The 16,768-nt window shown below is 52.4% G+C and overlaps 2 long non-coding RNA genes across 2 annotated transcripts in view, besides 3 other annotated features; one reads left to right on the forward strand and one right to left on the reverse strand.

Annotated features, from left to right (window-relative positions):
• Positions 1-559: 559 nt before the first annotated feature.
• Positions 560-11,086, reverse strand: LINC00898 (long intergenic non-protein coding RNA 898). Its single transcript, NR_033377.1, has 6 exons — positions 8,845-11,086; positions 6,955-7,094; positions 6,679-6,759; positions 3,985-5,150; positions 1,973-2,469; positions 560-618 (listed from the first exon to the last, which is right to left on the reverse strand). It is a non-coding gene; the product is annotated as a long intergenic non-protein coding RNA 898 (long non-coding RNA).
• Positions 5,739-6,238: an enhancer, noted in NCBI's record as "H3K4me1 hESC enhancer chr22:48021971-48022470 (GRCh37/hg19 assembly coordinates)". NCBI's record gives its function as "activates a minimal SCP1, AML or CMV promoter by ChIP-STARR-seq in primed H9 embryonic stem cells {active_cell/tissue: H9 hESC(primed)}" and the evidence as "EXISTENCE:reporter gene assay evidence [ECO:0000049][PMID:30033119]".
• Positions 8,362-9,241: an enhancer, noted in NCBI's record as "H3K4me1 hESC enhancer chr22:48024594-48025473 (GRCh37/hg19 assembly coordinates)". NCBI's record gives its function as "activates a minimal SCP1, AML or CMV promoter by ChIP-STARR-seq in primed H9 embryonic stem cells {active_cell/tissue: H9 hESC(primed)}" and the evidence as "EXISTENCE:reporter gene assay evidence [ECO:0000049][PMID:30033119]".
• Positions 9,242-10,120: an enhancer, noted in NCBI's record as "H3K4me1 hESC enhancer chr22:48025474-48026352 (GRCh37/hg19 assembly coordinates)". NCBI's record gives its function as "activates a minimal SCP1, AML or CMV promoter by ChIP-STARR-seq in primed H9 embryonic stem cells {active_cell/tissue: H9 hESC(primed)}" and the evidence as "EXISTENCE:reporter gene assay evidence [ECO:0000049][PMID:30033119]".
• Positions 11,087-11,190: 104 nt separating the features above from the next.
• Positions 11,191-16,768, forward strand: part of EPIC1 (epigenetically induced MYC interacting lncRNA 1) — a 223,927-nt gene continuing 218,349 nt past the window's right edge. Inside the window, exons 1-2 of the long non-coding RNA NR_122046.1 lie at positions 11,191-11,403; positions 14,697-14,870. This is a non-coding gene — a long non-coding RNA (epigenetically induced MYC interacting lncRNA 1). The remainder of the gene's footprint in view (positions 11,404-14,696; positions 14,871-16,768) is intronic.

Raw genomic sequence — 16,768 nt, forward strand, 5'->3', positions numbered from 1 at the left:
TTGTGTCTTAGAGATGTGTCTTAGAAGTCCCTGGGCTGAGGATTCCAGGAACCACAGTGCCTCAACTTCAGCAAACGGCACACACCCGGCCACCCACCCATCCCTGGCCCTCTCCTTTCCTCTGCCTGCCTCCAGGTCTGGTCAGGGGGTCATGCTGGCTGGCCCACTGTGGTAGCCCCATTCACCATGCCAAAACCAAAATGTCGAGAGGTCAGAAGGGACAGCAGTGAGGCCGACCTGGAGCAGGCTCTGCCTTCTGGGCCTCCTGCGTAGTTTCTCTTGGCCAGGTCCCTCGTCGCGGGAGGACATTACGAACACGCCTCCTTTGAAACATCACCTGAAGACTGAATCATTTCATCCCTTATTTTAGCCAATATCTCAAAACCCTGGAAAAGAGTTCTAATCAATAGGCTGTGAGGATGATGAAAACCTATTACCAGGAAAGAAACACATTATTAGGGAGATCAAAGGATAATAGGGCTCTAAGCAGAAGAGGTGGGGGGTGTCCGGGCCTCACCGGGTTGATGTGGATGAGTGAGCCCTGTTCTTTTCTTCCTTTGAGAGGATCACATGTTTAAGTGGACTCTCTTTTATGTACATTTTCTTCCATTTATGTCTCTGAAGATGAAATCAAGAATTTTCATTACATTATGTATATGCAAGTCTGTAGAACCCATAAGCATAAGAACATCGGAGTGGATTTTTTTGTTTGCTTCTTTTGTTTTTTGCCTTTTGGCTCACAGATGTGTGAGGACGTCTGCCTGCCTTCCAGAGCTCTGTGCGTGAGGACACAGGGACAGACCCAGCCGTTCTGCATGGCTGCACCCTGATGGCGTCCACTCCACATCCTCCAGAGTGTGGAGGGAACAGGGTGGGCCAGCAGCAACCCCATACTCAGAGCGTGCTGTGCCAGGGTCTTCCTCCTGGCTCTCCCATGCAGCTCCATCCCACAGCCTCAAAACTAGGGATTCTCAAAAGCCCCCCGCAGGATCTAGAGATAAGCAAGCTTGGGTCTTCCTTGTTCCCGAAGGAGGGGTGCAGAATTCACGTCAGAACTGGGCTTCTCAGCCCATCAGCTTGAGCTCCTGGTAGAAGACTTCAGACCCCAGATCACCAAATTCTAGGAGGGGTTGGGGTGGGAATATCGATTAACGGAGGACAGGAAGAGGAAGGAGGCCTCATCTTCCCTGAGAGATTGGACAGGGTTTGCCAGAGAAGGGGATGCTTTCTAGAACACTGAGCAGGGAAACAGAGTTCTGGAGGGAGGAATGAATTTCCAGGTTCACCACCTGGGCCATGGCTGGACTGATGCTTAGAGAAGCCACATTTGACAAAGAAAAATACAGGATATCAGCTAAATTTGAATTTCAGATAAAAAACAACTTTTTTTTTTAGTATATCTCAAATATTGTTAGAGGCACACTGGTAGTAAAAAACTACTTGTTACCAGGTGTGGTGGCTCATGCCTGTAATCCCAGCACTTTGGGAGGCCGAGGCGGGTGGATCACCTGAGGTCAAGAGTTCAAGACAAGCCTGACCAACATGGTGAAACCCCGTCTCTATTAAAAATACAAAAATTAGCCAGGCATGGTGGCACATGCCTGTAATCCCAGCTACTCAGGAGGCTGAGGCAGGAGAATCACTTGAACCCGGGAGGTGGAGCTTGCAGTGAGGCAAGATCACACCACTGCACTCCAGCCTGGGCGACAGAACGAGACTCCATCTCAAAAAAAAAACAAAAAAACAAAAAAACCCCCAAAAACATAAGTACTTGTTATTTATCTGAAATTCAGATTTAACCACGCATCTTGCATTTTATTTGGCAGCCCCACCTGTGGCTGCTACGCCCAGCTCTTCGTCTCACCGGTCGTTCATTTATTCACAAATGAACTCATTTGCTTACAAAAGTTCTATAATTTGCTAGGCACAGGGCCAGATTGGGGAGGAAGGCGGGGTCCCTCTCCCTGCTTACGTTCTGCTGTTGATGGTCCATCAGAGCATTTGTCTCTCACTGTGCGTTACACATCAGGATCACCTGGAGGTCTTGTGCTGTTGGCAGGACAATGGGCTTCCAAAAATGTCCAAGTCCTAATCCCTGGATCTTGTGAACATGTGACCTTACGTAGCAAAGGGGACTTTGCAGATGTGATTCAGTCAAGGACTTTGAGATGGGAAGATTACCCGGGTGCGCCCACCCTAATCACACGGGTCCTTACGTGGGTCAGATGACGATGTGACAATGGAAGGTCAGAAGACGCGAGGCTGCTGGCTTTGAAGGTGGAGGAAGGTCCGTGGGCCAAGGAAGTTAAAAAAACACGAGGAAACGACTTCTCCCTTACAGCATCCAGCAAGAAACGCAGCCTCCCAACACCTTGGTCTTAGCCCAGTGGGATCCCAGCCTACACAACTGTAAGGTGATGAGCGCGTGCACTCTGCAGTCACTGAGTTTGTGGTCATCTGCTCCAGCAGCTGCAGAAAATGCAGCCTGTTAAAGTAGATTCCTGGGCCCCAGCACCTGACTTCTGAATTCTATAGACCGCAGAGGGGCCTGAGAATCTGCATTTCTAGCACACTACAAGGTGGGACTGATGCTGCTGGCCTGGGACTCCCCTTTGAGAACCTCAACCTAGAACAAAGATGGTAGAAAGGGGCAGCTATGCTCCGTTGTGCAGGGGACGGAGGGGATGACGATCCTGTTCTTGGCTGACAGCGGCCCTTCTAATGGTGGGGTTGGGATTCAGAGTCCCTTGCATGCATGATATGGAAGGGCTGCTGCAGGGCCCAGGCTGGGACACTCAGTCCCTCCAGGTACCAGAGGGCCTTGTAGGGACCATCTCGTTTTCCAGCCTCATTTGCAGACATGGCCCCTGAGTCCAGAGAGTGGGAGGGACTTATCCGGGGCCCCCTGGACAGGCGGTGCCAGTGTCTGCACCAGAGCCTGAGTGATTTCATTCCAGGGACTTTTTCTAGGCCTCCAGCAAGAGAGAACGGAGGTCCAGGTATGCAGGGAGAGAGAGTACAGGGAGCCTGAGCGCTGAGGACCCCACAGCCTGCGATGTCTCGGCCACATCACAGGCAGAAAGCGCACGGTGGGTGGAAGGAAGGCTCTCATTGTGCCTCAGGATCCCTGGCAGCTCTGGCACGGTCACCCGTAGCTGGGACACAGCTCAGCCTCCAGTCCCAGCCCTGCCTGACGTGTAATGATGGTCGAGAGCAAGCAGAGAAGTGGCAGCAATTTGTAAATCATTATGCCCCGTGAGAAGCCCAGGCTCCCAGAGGGAGTGAGCTGCCCAAGGCCAGGCAGTGGCAGGTGGTGAAGCTGGGGGCGTCACTTGGGCCACCTGTCCCACATCTGGCCTTCCCGCCCATCCCAGCAGCCCTCGGACGGTGACAGGGAGGACAGGCTTGGCTGCAGCCGCACACATTTCATTCTCATCTCCTGCCGATCTCATTCCCTCCCCTGCTGGGCGCTCCTGGCAGTGAATTTATATATAACACGGTGCCCGCCCCTCCCAGCCCATTCCAGGAGAAGCCTCTTTGAAGGCAAAATAGCTTCCAGAATGATCGTTCACTAAGAGACATTCGTCAGTGAGATGTCTTCCATAAAACTGAAATATCAGGAAATCGCACGCACGTGGGCCAGGAGCTGGGTAGCGGCTGTTTCAGCCCAGAACATGGGCCACGCAGAATACAAGCGACTGTTTTTGATAAATTAGACCCCAGTTTACACTGTTACTTGCTTGTTGGAGAGAGTGAAATGGCCATTCAATCAACATCCTGGCTCCCAGGAAGGCAGGGACAGTGGCCTCATCCCCAATCAGTCACCAGCACAGCTGCAGGCCGGCTGTCGGAAGGGCCTGGGCCCACTCCTGGCGCCCCAGGGAGAGCCGGGCTTGAAACAGCGAGTCAAGGTGACAAATGGCGCCTGGGAAGTTTCCAATCATGGGAATGGGGCCCATGTACCAGAGCCCATCCCTAGCCTACCTGCTTGGCCCTTGGCCTTCCTTGGAGGATCTCCTGGCCGGGGAGAAGGGCCGCTGGCTGGTGCAGGCAGCCGAGACATGCCTGTCCTCTAGGAGGAGGCAGCCACGTCCATCAGGCCCTGAGCCTTGCTTGAGCACTCATGAGGGCTGTGATGGGAGACGGGGTGGATAAGGAGGGTGGCTGTAATCTGCGCCTCCTGAGCAGTTCGGGGCGATGTGCTTTGTCTCCTACAAGCCTGAGATCTCCTTTGACCACCCTGCAGAAAATGAAACCGCATCTCCAGGCTCATCACCTGCCTGAGGCCACATCTGGGTCTGGAGGGAACTCTGGGATCCAAACCCAGGTGTCCTTCTTGAATTAGCAGCCAAACCCCTAAACGGCCCGGCCTCGGCTGGCCCGCACTTCAGTTATGATCTAAGTCATGAACGTGGTCGCAGAACTGGATCTAGATCTAACAACAGCAGGTTCAACAGCCCATATTTGTGAACACTTCCCGGTGGGACAGTCTCTGCTGAGCACTTGGCTGCATTCACCCCACTCAGTCCTGTCGAGACGGGGACTCCTGTTAGGCTGGAGAAGCAGCCAGGCTCGGCACAGTCGATGAACTCGCCCTGGCCAGGGGTAAGTGGGCAGCAGAGTCAGGCTGGGGACCAGGTCTGATGATAGAAATGTCTCTGTGTTTGGCCACTGCACCTTCTGCTGCCGGTAGGCCCCAGACTCCCAGGTGGGGACGACTGAGCCCCTCTGCCAGGTAGAGATTTCCATCTGCGGTGGTGGGAAGGGCTGTGAGGACCCCAGTGCACCCACCCAGAGCTCCCGAGGGTGCAGACACGGGACCCGTGCCAAGGGTTGCTCCTTAACAAGGTGGCTCCAGACACGAAGTCGGTACCTGGTGAGCTGCTCTCACCTCTGATTTTGAACATGCTTTATAGACATCAGTTAAGTATTGATTGATAAACGAATGCATTAAGATCCTGAGAAATGACTCCGGGCACAGAAGTAATGACTTGTTACGGTGAAAAATACAGCTTGGAGGCACAGTGATTTCTCGCCCATCGATGGCCCTCGGTTCTGTACTTGCTCTGGGCAGGAAATAAAAACAGGCGGGAGCAGGATTGGCTGAGACCTGCAGAGATGGGATTTTGAGTTCTGAAGAGCAACTGGACCTGTGGAGTAGAGGAGAGTAGCCTCCAGCTGCTGACCAGCCGCTGATCGGATGCTGCACTGCGGCAGAACGGCCTCTGCCTTCTGTGCCTCTTGCCTCTGCCCACTCCTGCTTTGCTGGTGACCCCTCTTCTGCCAGCCTGGCAACCCCTTTCTGCCAGCCTGTCTGAGGGTGAGCCTGCCCTAGGCTGCCCAGTTCTCTGCCCTTGTCCCTCCATACCCACCATCTCCCCGTCCCGTCTTCGCCCTGCCTCCCTGCAGCGACCCTTGATGGAGAGGGTCCACCCTGGCCACCCTGCCCTCTGCCCTCCATACTCCCACCCACCAGAGCACCATCTTCCTGGAGTCCACGTCTTGCTCCCTGTGGTTCCCCGGGCATTTCCACCCAGCGTTCATTCCAGGCTCGCCCTACCTCCCTGTCCTGTCTCAGATGAGAGCCTGGGAGCCACTGGCGGCTGTTGATGTCTGCCTGCCCGTCCCTCCCTCCCTCCTCCCGTGGTCAGGGACCCCTCAAGTGCATATTAGTTCAACACCACGCCCCTCGAGGGGTGCTGTGCCGTGCACTCCACAGGCAGTGGCAAGGGGGTGGGGGTGCACAGTGAGGGACCCAAGCTCTCCCGGTGGCAAATGACCTAATCACAGGAACCTGTGGGAGCCTGTGGGAGAAGCAGCCACAGACGTGATCGGAGCGACTGCGGTGGGGCAGCCCCCAAATAAGGACTCACAGACGTGGTCGGAGCGACTGCGGTGGGGCAGCCCCCAAATAAGGACTCACAGACGTGATCAGAGTGACTTGTGGGTGAAGTGCCCGAATAAGGACTCATGACACGATCTCCACTCCCCATGGAGTCTCCGCAGGACACACAGGCGGTCAGGCTGAGCTCCCAGGAGGTGAAATGGCCCTGCTTACACTGGCCATGGCCTCCCTCCTTCCTGCCTTGCCAGCCCCTCGCCGGCCTGGGGTCCCCACACATGTCTGCTGGCACAGCCCTGTCCCCTCTGAACTCCCTTTTTCTTCCTTTCTGTTGACTCAGTGCCCCCTTCCGCCTGGGCCGTGCAAGGACCCTGGGCTCTGTCCTCTCACCTCCTCCCGGTCTGTCTCTAGCTCCCATGGTGATGTCTTTGTTGGGTGGAAGCCAGCCTTCTGGGGTGAACCTAGGTCCTTGCTGCCCCAGTGTCTGGTTACTCTTTGCTGGACACATCCACCTACATTTTCCTGGGACATCCTTCCCCCCACTTCTGGTCCCTGAAGCTGGGGAAACACCTTTCCTGGCAGGTGAGGCCTGAGTGATTTAGACCCGAGCAGCTCTGGACATTACACTCCTCCAGCCACACAGAGATGGACGTGAGGACTGGGTACACAGAGGGGACACACGGAAATGTTGGCCAGGGCCCTGGCTTTCCCTCTGAACTTGTCACTGAGAGGACAGAAAGTCTCTGGCTCCTGCTACCATCTTGTCAGTAGAGGGCACCCAGACACCCTACACTGGAAGCTGGAAAGACAGCGTGTGTGCCTCCATCAAGCCATACCTGAAGCCTGGTCTGCACTTGGACTTGTCACTTCTGTGGGTTGACAAAGGCCCTTTTGCCTCAGTGAGTTCTCAATTGCACCTGTACGAGTATCAGTTAGTATAGGCCACCTAAACCACAGACTTGCAGGCTGGGAAGGAGGCTTACCTCCTCCACCTGCCTTCCAGAAGTACCTCCCCAGCTGAGGCACAGCTCCAGGGAAGGGCCGGTGGGGATAGACCATGGGTCAGGACTGCCTTGGGTCAGGACCTGGGATCTTGCTGCAGCTCTGCTGACCTGTAGAGAAATGCCTGGCCTGTGCAGGCTCCCAGCAACCATGCTGCAGAAGTGGGTCTGGCCCATCTTGAAGACTCTCTTCTGCTGTGGCATTTCCTGGTGCTGGAGGAATGAGTGTCAGCTGGTGCTCTCTGTCTGGTCTGAAAGGTTGATATGAATTGTGCACTTGATTTTGGCAGTTGACTGTGCTGATTCTCCAGCCCTAATTATAATGAGCATGAGCATGAATGTCTTGAAATATAGACGCATACGAGCTGCCAAATACGGTGAGTCATCATATTCCCAACTTTCAGGCAAGCTTAGGTGCCAGGGGAAGCGACCTATACATCAAAGAGATGAAGTCCTGGTTTCTGCGGGCGGGGGCGGGGAGAGGGCTGGGGAGCTGTTGGCTCTGGGGTGGGAGCGCATATTCCTGTCTGTCAGATCAGAGGATGCCTGAGAGGTGACAGAGATGGGGCTTTTTAGTCCTGTGAAATTCGAGATAGGCCTGACAAATCATCTTAATAAAAAGTTCTCTGAAGAGAATAATTGGGGGAATTGGGTGGAGTCCTGGCAGCTCCCACAGGTTGGCAGGTGCCGAGGGACAGGCGACACTACCACCCCACGGGGAGTGCAGGCACGTGTGCGTGAGCGTGAACACGTGTGTAAATGTGTGTGTAGTTAGTGTGTGCATGTGAGTGTGCATGTTGTGAGGATGTGTGTGTGAAGGGTGTTTGTATGTGAACGTGTGTGTGTTAGTGTGTGCATGTGAGCTTGTGTGTTGGGTGTGTGTGGAGGGTATATAAGTGTGTGTTAGTGTAAGCATGCATGTTGTGGGGGTGTGTGTGTGGGTGGAGGGTGTACAAGCCTGCATGAATGTGTATGTGAACATGTTAGTGTGTGCATGTGTGTGTGTTGTGGCGGTGTATGAGTGTGTGTGGAGGGTGTATAAGTGTGCATGAGTGCATGTGTGTGTTTTGTGGGGTATATGTGTGTGGAGGGTGTATAAATGTGCATGAGTGTGTATATGAACATGTGTTAATGTGTGCATGTGAGTGTGTGTTGGGGTGTGTGAGTTGTGTTGAGGGTTTATAAGCGTGCATGAGTGTGTGTATGGACATGTGTGTTAGTGTGCATGTGAGCGTGTGTGTGGACGGTGTGTAAGTGTGCATGTGTGTGCAAACATGTGTGTTAGTGTGTGCATGTGTGCATTGTGGGAGTGTGTGTGGAGGGTGTGTGTGAACGTGTGTGTAGTGTGTGCATGTAAGCGTGCATGTTTGTGAGTGTGTGAAGGGTGTATAAGTGCATGAGTGTGTGTATGCGAACATGTGTGTGTTAGTGTGTGCATGTGAGCGTGTGTGTTGTGGGGGGTATGTGTGTGGAGGGTGTGTGTATGTGAACGTGTGTGTAGTGTGTGCATGTAAGCGTTGGTGTTGGGTGTGTGTGGAGGGTGTGTAAGTGTGCGTGTGTGTATGTGAACGTGTGTGTTAGTGTGTGCATGTGAGCGTGTGTGTTGTGGGAGTGTGTGAGAGTGTGTGGAGGGTGTATAAGTGTGCATAAGCATGTGTGACCGTGTGTGTGACTGAGCTTGTGTGGCCCTGCACAGTTGTGTGTGCTTGTGTGCTTTTGCATGTGCAGGCATGTCTGCAGGTGCCGTGTGTGTGCTCACCAGGGACTGGCCCATGGGTGCATGTGCATGTGTGTGATGTGGGTGTCCAATGTTGGGGAGACTCTGGACGCACTGACCCTTCTGTGGGCTTCTGCGCGGCAGCCTAGACTGTGGGTGTGCCTAAATAGGTGAGGAGGGCTTCATGCACAGCTGCCTGTGAAGGTGTCTGGAGCTGGGGCCCCCCAGTCAACACCAGGGTCCTGGGAGGGCCAACAGGGCCACGGCTCCCCTCCCCAACTCACAGCTGTGTCCTGTGAGGCTGCTGCACGGCTGGCTGTCCCGTCCACCTTCCTTTGTCCAGCCTGTGTCTTCTCCGCTCTTGCTTGGTGAAACCTGCAAGGCCCATGGGAGCTCCGCCTTCTCCATGACGTCTTGTCTACAAGTCCCGCAGGCCTCTCTGCAGCCCGGCCACGGTGCTTGGCGTCCTACCAGGCGCTCTCCCACTCTGCTGTAACAGGGCCCCTTGTTTGCGGGGCTCCCCCTGTGTGCCTGTCCATCACCTCCCACAGGGCAGGGTCAGCCAGCACCTGGCACGGAACAGTGTGCACTGCAGCGTCCATGCTGAGGACGGACCTCGCTCTCACACCCTCCAGATGGCGGCGTGTTTTGAGGACTTGGATCTCAGCCATCCCTGAGGCAAGGGGGGCTTTGTCACTCTGAACGGGGGAGGTTTCTCCCTCCTCCCGCCCAGCTCTCCAAGTGACCCTGGGCAGGTCCTTCCTTGGGGTCGCCTCTGTAGGATTGAGCTGGATCCTCCCTGAGTTCCGTCTCAGAGAAGCTGGGTTATGCCTCAAATTTCCCCTGGAGCTTTCCAGAGCCCCTGGATCCTGCCAGTGTCACCCCCAACAGTGGCCAGAAGGCGGAATGAGAGTCCTGCTGTAGTTCCTGGGCCCGATATTTCAGGAGATTCTGGGCAAACCCCACAGCCCTCACCTCATTCCTCTCAGCCCCAATGGGGCATGAATCCTCCCAGCTGGACCACAGAGCCATCGGCAGCTCAGATTGCTGAGCCAGCCCCCACGGAGCCAGGGAGGAATCCGGCAGCCAGTTCCAGCCCTGAGGAGGATGAGGGGCAGGCTCATGGAAGGATGGAAGGATGGAAGAGAAAGGAGGGAAGGGGAGCTGGGCTCTGGGGCTTTTGGCTTCTGCAGCCATTTGGACAGAGGTGAGAAAACTCAGAGGAGAACAGCGTGGTGTGGGGTCAGTGGTCCACTTTGGGGCATTGCATGGAGACTGACAGGTGTGTACCCCAATCCTCAACCCCCTTCTTCTTCAGCCACAGAGGTGGCCAGGTGCCATGTCTAAGAACTACTCTGCCAGCTCCCTTTTCAGAGGGTGGCAGCTATAGAGAAATCAGCAGAGCCATGGGTGGGGAAGGGGTGTCTGGGCAAAGCCCCCTGGGGGCTGACCAGGCAGGACCAGCCCCCTCTGCCTTCTGGTCTCACCTTCTTCCTGCTGCCCGGAGCAAGAATGCGACTGCTGCAGCTGGTGACCAGCGGTGACATGGACAATGGCCCATGTGAAAAAGGTCAGAACAGAAAAGATGGACACAGCCTGGTCCTGGTGACCATGGAGTGGCCAAATCAGTCTCTGACAGCTGGTCCCAGACTTTTCTACAAAAAGAAAAATGAACCTCTCTGCAATTCAAGCCCTTGCATTGCACCTCAATCTAATTGCACCTGATACAGACCTGTTCCTTTGGAGGGCCTTGGGACACATGGAGGGGGTCCATCGCAGACAGGACCACCGGGAGGTGGAGAGGCTAAGATGCTAGCAAAGGGCAGACCTGTAAGAGAGAGCCCTGGAGGGTGGGTGACAGCAAAGCTGACAGAGGGGGTCTTTTAGGAAAAGCCGTGGGATGCTGCATGTCACAGGAGAGCAGACGGCCTGCTGGATTTGGAGACACTCAGGTCAGGGCCCGACTTAGGACAACTTTGGGCTGTGAGGTAAGAACCTGGGGCATAGTACTTGGTTATCAAGGGGAGGGAAGGAGCCTACAGTCCCTGTGAAAACGCTTTTGAGAGAGGGGAAGGAGCTGGGAGGCTCTGACGTAAAGATACTGAAGAGCAGCCTTGGAAGCCCACAGAAAACGCGAGCTTTTAGAAAACAAGAAGGAAGGCTGGTGCAGAGGGTGGGTCCGGGGCACCGCAGCGGGATTGGCCTCTGGTCGGAGGGAACTTGCGGTAGGGAAGGCAGGGGAGGGGAAGATGTGAGTGGGTTTGTACATGCACTGCTGTGAGATGAGAGGGTTTGCATTAGTCAGGGTTCTGCAGAGAAACAGAGCCAATAGGATACACGTACATAGGAAGAGATTCGTAAGGAGACACTTCGTGCAATTCTGGAGGCTGAGAAGTCCCACGATCTGCTGTCCGCAAGCCGGACACCCAGGAATGCTGGCAGTGCAAGTTCCAAGACCTGAGGGCCGGGATCCAATGGAGTGGACGCCAGTCAGAGTCTGAATCCCTGAGAACCAGGAGTACCAACGGCCAGAGGGAACGGATGTCTGCCTTGGGTCAGGCAGAGAGAATCCAAACGCCCTCCACCTTTTTGTCCTGTTCCGGCTTCCACAGATTGGACGAGGCCCACCCACCTTGGGGAGGGGCCAGCTGCTGTGTTCAGTCCGCCATTGCAAACACGAAGCTCTTCCAGAAACGCCCTCACAGACACCCCGGAAGTCACGTACCCACTCTGTAGGTGCCCCGGGGCACAGGCAAGCGGACGAGCCAGTTATCCCTCAGAGCTCCTGCTGCCTCGCCCGCTTTCTCTCGGAAACGTGAAGTGTGGCCTCAGCTGAAAGTGAGGTGAGCGTGAGTGTGGACATGTGTCAGTGTGCGTGTGCATGGGAGGAGTGTGTGTGCGCTTGATGACGATGATGGAGCCCAGTGAGCCACCGTCCGTGGAGTGTCAGAGCCTCCTAGGATGGCCACGCCGAAGGTGCGGAAGGAGGCGGCTGGCCCAGCGTCAGACGTTTCCAGCATCCGCGGGAGTGAAACGGAGGCTGGTGGGTGGTTGTGATGTGTTTCTTTAAGAATGGATCCTGCAGGTTCTTCTTCCTCCCGGTCTCCGGTGCCGGAAGGAGGACACCGCGAGTGTTGCTTGTTTGCTTACAGAGAGTGTGCAGCAGCAGCAGCAGCAGCCCGGGGCCAGCTTTGGGAGGACTAAGGATATTTCAGGGTTTTAAGCCAGGGGATGACACAGTGGGCTTAAATTCAGGAAAAAAAAAAAAATGCTTCTGGTGGCAAGGACAGGGAGAGACTGAATAAGTTTGGGGTAAGTGGCAAAATCAGAGAAAGAAAACCTTCCAGGAGGTCTGAGCCCAGGAAAGCAACCTTAAGGATCCGAGCTGACAAAGTCATCCTGGAGGTGGAGGCATCAGGCCCAGCTGGAGAGATTGTGAGGGCGAAGAACCTACAGGACCTTTTGTGAAAGAAAAGAAACAAGCTCAGTTTTGAGTATTTTGCATTCTTCACTTGGGGGGAAAAAGGAGCTATAAAAATTGCAGGCAGGTGTGCATCATGTCTTGGTAATTTCCAAAGGATTGCTTTTAATATGATAGGCACATAAAAGATTTTAAAAGCAACTGCTTTACGTGTACATTATCGACTGCTCCTGGAGCCTTATGGCACCAAGGCAGAGCTTTGCCATTAACCACAGCTCCATGGCAGCAGAGTTACGCCGGCAGGTAGCTGAGGGAACGTGAGGACATCAGAACTGGGGTTCACAGGAGGCAAAAACCTGCAGCTGCTTGTAGGAGGCCTCAGGCTTCCTGCACCCGCCTCTGTTATCCTGTGGATTGGGGCAGCCAGTACAGCAAAGAGCCGGCCCCCGGAGCCCACAGCCTGCAGGGAGACAGACAGGAAAACAGATGATGAGACGCCCTCTCATCATAGCAGGCACTATTTTACCACGGCACGGCAGGAAAAGCACTTAGATTTGCTGGGGCATCTGTTGAAATGAGGTAGAGAAGTTTCCTTCTGCACAGTCTCCTGAGTTCTTTCCAGGGGAAGTGACGAAGGGGTGACGTTGTTGTTGCTCAGAAATTTCTTGACAGCCTGCTTGGGGCAGAATGTGGGGATCTGAAGGGTGCAAGCGTGAGCACAATTCTTCATGGATTGTTGTGTGAGATGATGAGAAAGGAACTCACCCATCTTTCTGGAGGGAGGAGGAGACATGGGGGCAGGGGGGGAGCCAGAGGTGGCAGAAGGTGACACAAGCCCCAGAGTCACCCCTTCTATCATGCCCGATGTCTGTGAGGCTGCTGAATTTCCAGCCTGCTTGGCCGTGAGTGGGTCTGCAGAGAAACCGGTGGGAGCTCCGGCCTTCGGGTATAGCTGGGGGCATGAATGTCTGACCATGCCCATGAGCATGAATGCAGAGAGGCAGCCAGAAAGATGGGGGTTTGAACAATGTCTCCCAAATTCAGAGAGGCAGAAAGACCCTGGCTGACACCTGAGTTTCTCGTGTTACTTCATGAGGTGTAGATGATGTGATGATACAAGAATCCACAACTTCTCCAGACAAATCGGTAGGACTAATAAGAGATCCCTGGTTAGATTTTTCATTCACTGAAGTTCCATTTCATTCTTTTTTGAATCTATCCATTTTATTGCAGGCAAGTCTTTGATTCCGTCATATTTTTGAAATATTTGCTATACATATTGTGCGTGACAGCCCACATATCTGAAGTCTGACTTTGTTCTTTTCTCCTCGTTTCCTGTTTTGGCTGAGTTTTGCTATGTCTGGCTGGCTAGTTTATTTCTACAATTGTGTGATTTTTAGTTATGAACTCATATGGATTCGATATCTATGGTAGGTCTCTGGGGAAGCAAGCTTTTTCGGGACATGAGAGGGCCTCAAATATTTGGGGAGAATTTTCTCATTGTGCCAAATCCAGGGCTGAGAAAGACACTTTTCATGGCTTTCTGCTTCTGTAGGACTGTTCCTCCGTTTCCCACTCATCTTTTCCTTCTGTCTAGCCCTTCCTGACTCCTGGCTTCATGGGGGTAATTTCCAGTCCAGCTATCAATGACTGGGAAAGAAATATTAACTTTTCCCTAGTTGATTTTAGATGTATTAGCTTCTTCTTGCTTAACGTTGGTGACTGCTTTATATATTTTTAAGCCAAATTATTATGAGCATACAAATTGATCATTTTTCATCTCCCTTGTTAAACACTTACTCTTTTCATCCTTTCACTTTTTAAAAACTTAAAAGCAGTATTTTAAATTCAGAAATAATTTTATATATTTATGAGGCTCTAAGGGATGTTTTGATATGTGTATACATTGGAGAAAGGTTAACTCAAACTAATTAACATGCCCATCACCTTACCTGCTCATCATTTCCTCACTTTTCATCCAGCTAGGTGGCGTAGGGTACCACAAGTTGATTTAATCCTAGCTCCTCTGGGGACATGAAGAACACAAGAGCCATTATTCTGAGGACTCTGCTGGGTCTGAGCCCTTGCTCTTGCCTCCAGGACCCACTGGCATTCCTTTCCCTAGCAAAAGGCGGAGGCCTCTGCGGGCTCACGACCCACACAGCCGCACCTGTGAGTTGCATGTTTACAAACGGCCTGTCTCCTGGAAATAAATCTTTGCACTTTTCTCAGGAAATATAGTCTATAAATCACTGTGACATTTAAGATGAGGATCGCCTCCTCCCGCTCCTCTGCCTCTAAGTATAGGCCCCCCACGCTTGCTGCAGAGCCTGGGAGGTGGCCAGCCCAACTCTGTCTGGCTGGGGTAGGGACAGTCACTTAGAGTTGAAATCACTGACATCTTCAGATGTCAGCCTTGTCACCACGAAAATGACCTTGCATTGCAATGAGCGGAAAGATGACTTTGTGAAACGTTAAGCAGGTGAGTTGCCCCTGCTTCATATTCATCCTGGTCTTAGAATCCCACTGTTGTCACTTTGGCATTCGCTTTTTAACGCTGTGATGATTAATTTTATGTGTCACCTTGGCTGGGCTAGGGTGCCCAGTTGGTTGGTCAAACACCAGTCTAGATGCTGCTGTAAAGTTAATTTTCAGATGTGATTAGCATTTAAATCAGTAGACTTTAAGTGAAGCACATTACTCTCCGTCATACAGGTGGGCCTCATTCAATCAGTTGAATTCTTCAAGAGAGAAAAACTGAAGTCCCTTAGAAGGAAAGAGTTCTGCCTTCAGACTGTCTTTGAACTTAAGACTGTAGCGTCGACTCCTGCCGGAATTTCCAGCCTGCTGGCCAGCTCTGCAGATTCACACTTGCCAGCCTCCACAATCGTGTGAGCCAATTCCTTAACTTCTCTTTCTCCGTGTATCCCTTTGGTGCTGCCTCTCTGGGGAGCCCTGACTAATATGCATGCAGATGATACGGTGCCTGGCATTCTGAATACATGCACTAAATCCACCACTTTTCCCCATTTATAGATTTGGATTAACACACTAACTTACTCATATCTGCAAGTATAAATAAAAAAAATTGCTGGTGCCAATTTCAAAGTTTTGCCATGAGGTAGCTTGAAGGAATGACATTTTAAGGAATTCGCTCAAGGCCGTAGGACATGCGATCAGGTTGTAATGCCAAGCAACTCTTATTGGGCCCTCTGCTCTGATGCCCTTCACATCTGCCACCTCAATGGATTAGAGCTCTCCCTGCAGACACCCCTAGCCCCAGCTCCTGCCTATCGTTTCTTTAACGTGCTCATCACGCTCCAACATGTCATGTATTTACTGGCTAAGTTGCCTTTTTTTATGTGTTTTCCTGGGATAAATGTCAGCTCACAGAACCTAGCACCTGGCACATAGTAGAGGCTTAATTCCATATCTGTTGGAATTGATGCAAATAAATGAATTATTGTCAAGAGGGAGGGAGGGAGAGAGAGAGAGAAAGAGAGAGAGAGCTGTAGCTCAGGGAGTCAAAGTGCAACAGAATGAGTGAATGAGTTTGGGGCTCCGTCAGACCAACTTCAAGTTCCACCTCAGTCACTTGCAAGGTCATTTAGCCTCTCTGCATCTTGTTCTTCACATCTAGAGTGAGTAGTATGACTTGGAGTTCAGTACTCACCTAGAAAATGAAGAAAAGCACAGACCACAAGCCTGGTGTATAGTCCACACTCAGTGTGAAGGGCATGTATTATTTTTGTGGGATCCCATAGCACTCTGCTGGCACCCCGTTGAAAGTACCTTCCCTACCTTGGAGTCATTTGTCTTATAGGCACTTTTGTATTTTGTTAATATTTACAGTTGTATTATAAGCCTCTCTTTTTCCCCATTGAGCCTGCTGTGGTGCACTGCAGGCTGGTGCATACAGAGTGCTCCGTGGATGCTTGCTGAGTGCCTGTGTAAGAGGGTGGACCGATGATGGGTCTAGTGGGTTGCATGGCTGGCTTTCTCCATCCATTTATTTAGATGTGCGTTGCCCTGTGTGGCAATACTCTGATGGTAGATCTTAGGCAAAACTCAATTTACAGAGGACCCAAGGGTCAAAATCCAAGTCACAGCTGTACTTTGACACCAGTGATAAGCGACTTAGAGCAGCATACTACCCTTTACACAATTTTCAAAGTCATCATTCAGTTTAGTCCCCATGAGCTAGATCTGATCATTATTTCTAGGTGGTGAAGCAGTGATGTACGGCTATTTGGCAGTGAATTAGAGTCCCAGGTCAGCTTGAGTGTGGCTGTGAGAGGAGCTGTGGCTCTGGGTGGCATGTTCCCCTGCACCTTGGACGTCATGCTCCTGGGGCAGAGGTATGAATGAAGGAAGGCGGACTTTCCTCTCTAGCCCAGAGCTAAGGATGACTGCACTATAGGGAAACTGTTGGGAGGGTGCTTGGTCTGAAGGTTTGTGTCCCTTGAAATTCACATGTTGAAACTATAACCCCAAAGTGATCATATGGGGTGGTGGTGGGGTTGGGAGGTGATTAAGTCATAAGGGTGGAGCCGTCATGAATGGGTTTGGCCCCCTTGTAAAATAGACCCCAGAGAGCTCTCTAGCCCTTTTTCCACTATGTGGAGACACAGCAAGAAGACAGCCATCTATCAGCCAGGAAGTGGGCCCTCTTCAGACACTGAATCTTCTGGCACATTAATCTTAGACTTCCCAGCTTCCACAACTGTCAGAAATAAATGGTTGTTGTTTAAGCCACCAGTCTATGGTATTTTGTTATAGCATCCAGA

The sequence above is a fragment of the Homo sapiens genome, chromosome 22 (genome assembly GCF_000001405.40).
Source record: "Homo sapiens chromosome 22, GRCh38.p14 Primary Assembly".
NCBI classification, from domain to species: domain Eukaryota; kingdom Metazoa; phylum Chordata; class Mammalia; order Primates; family Hominidae; genus Homo; species Homo sapiens.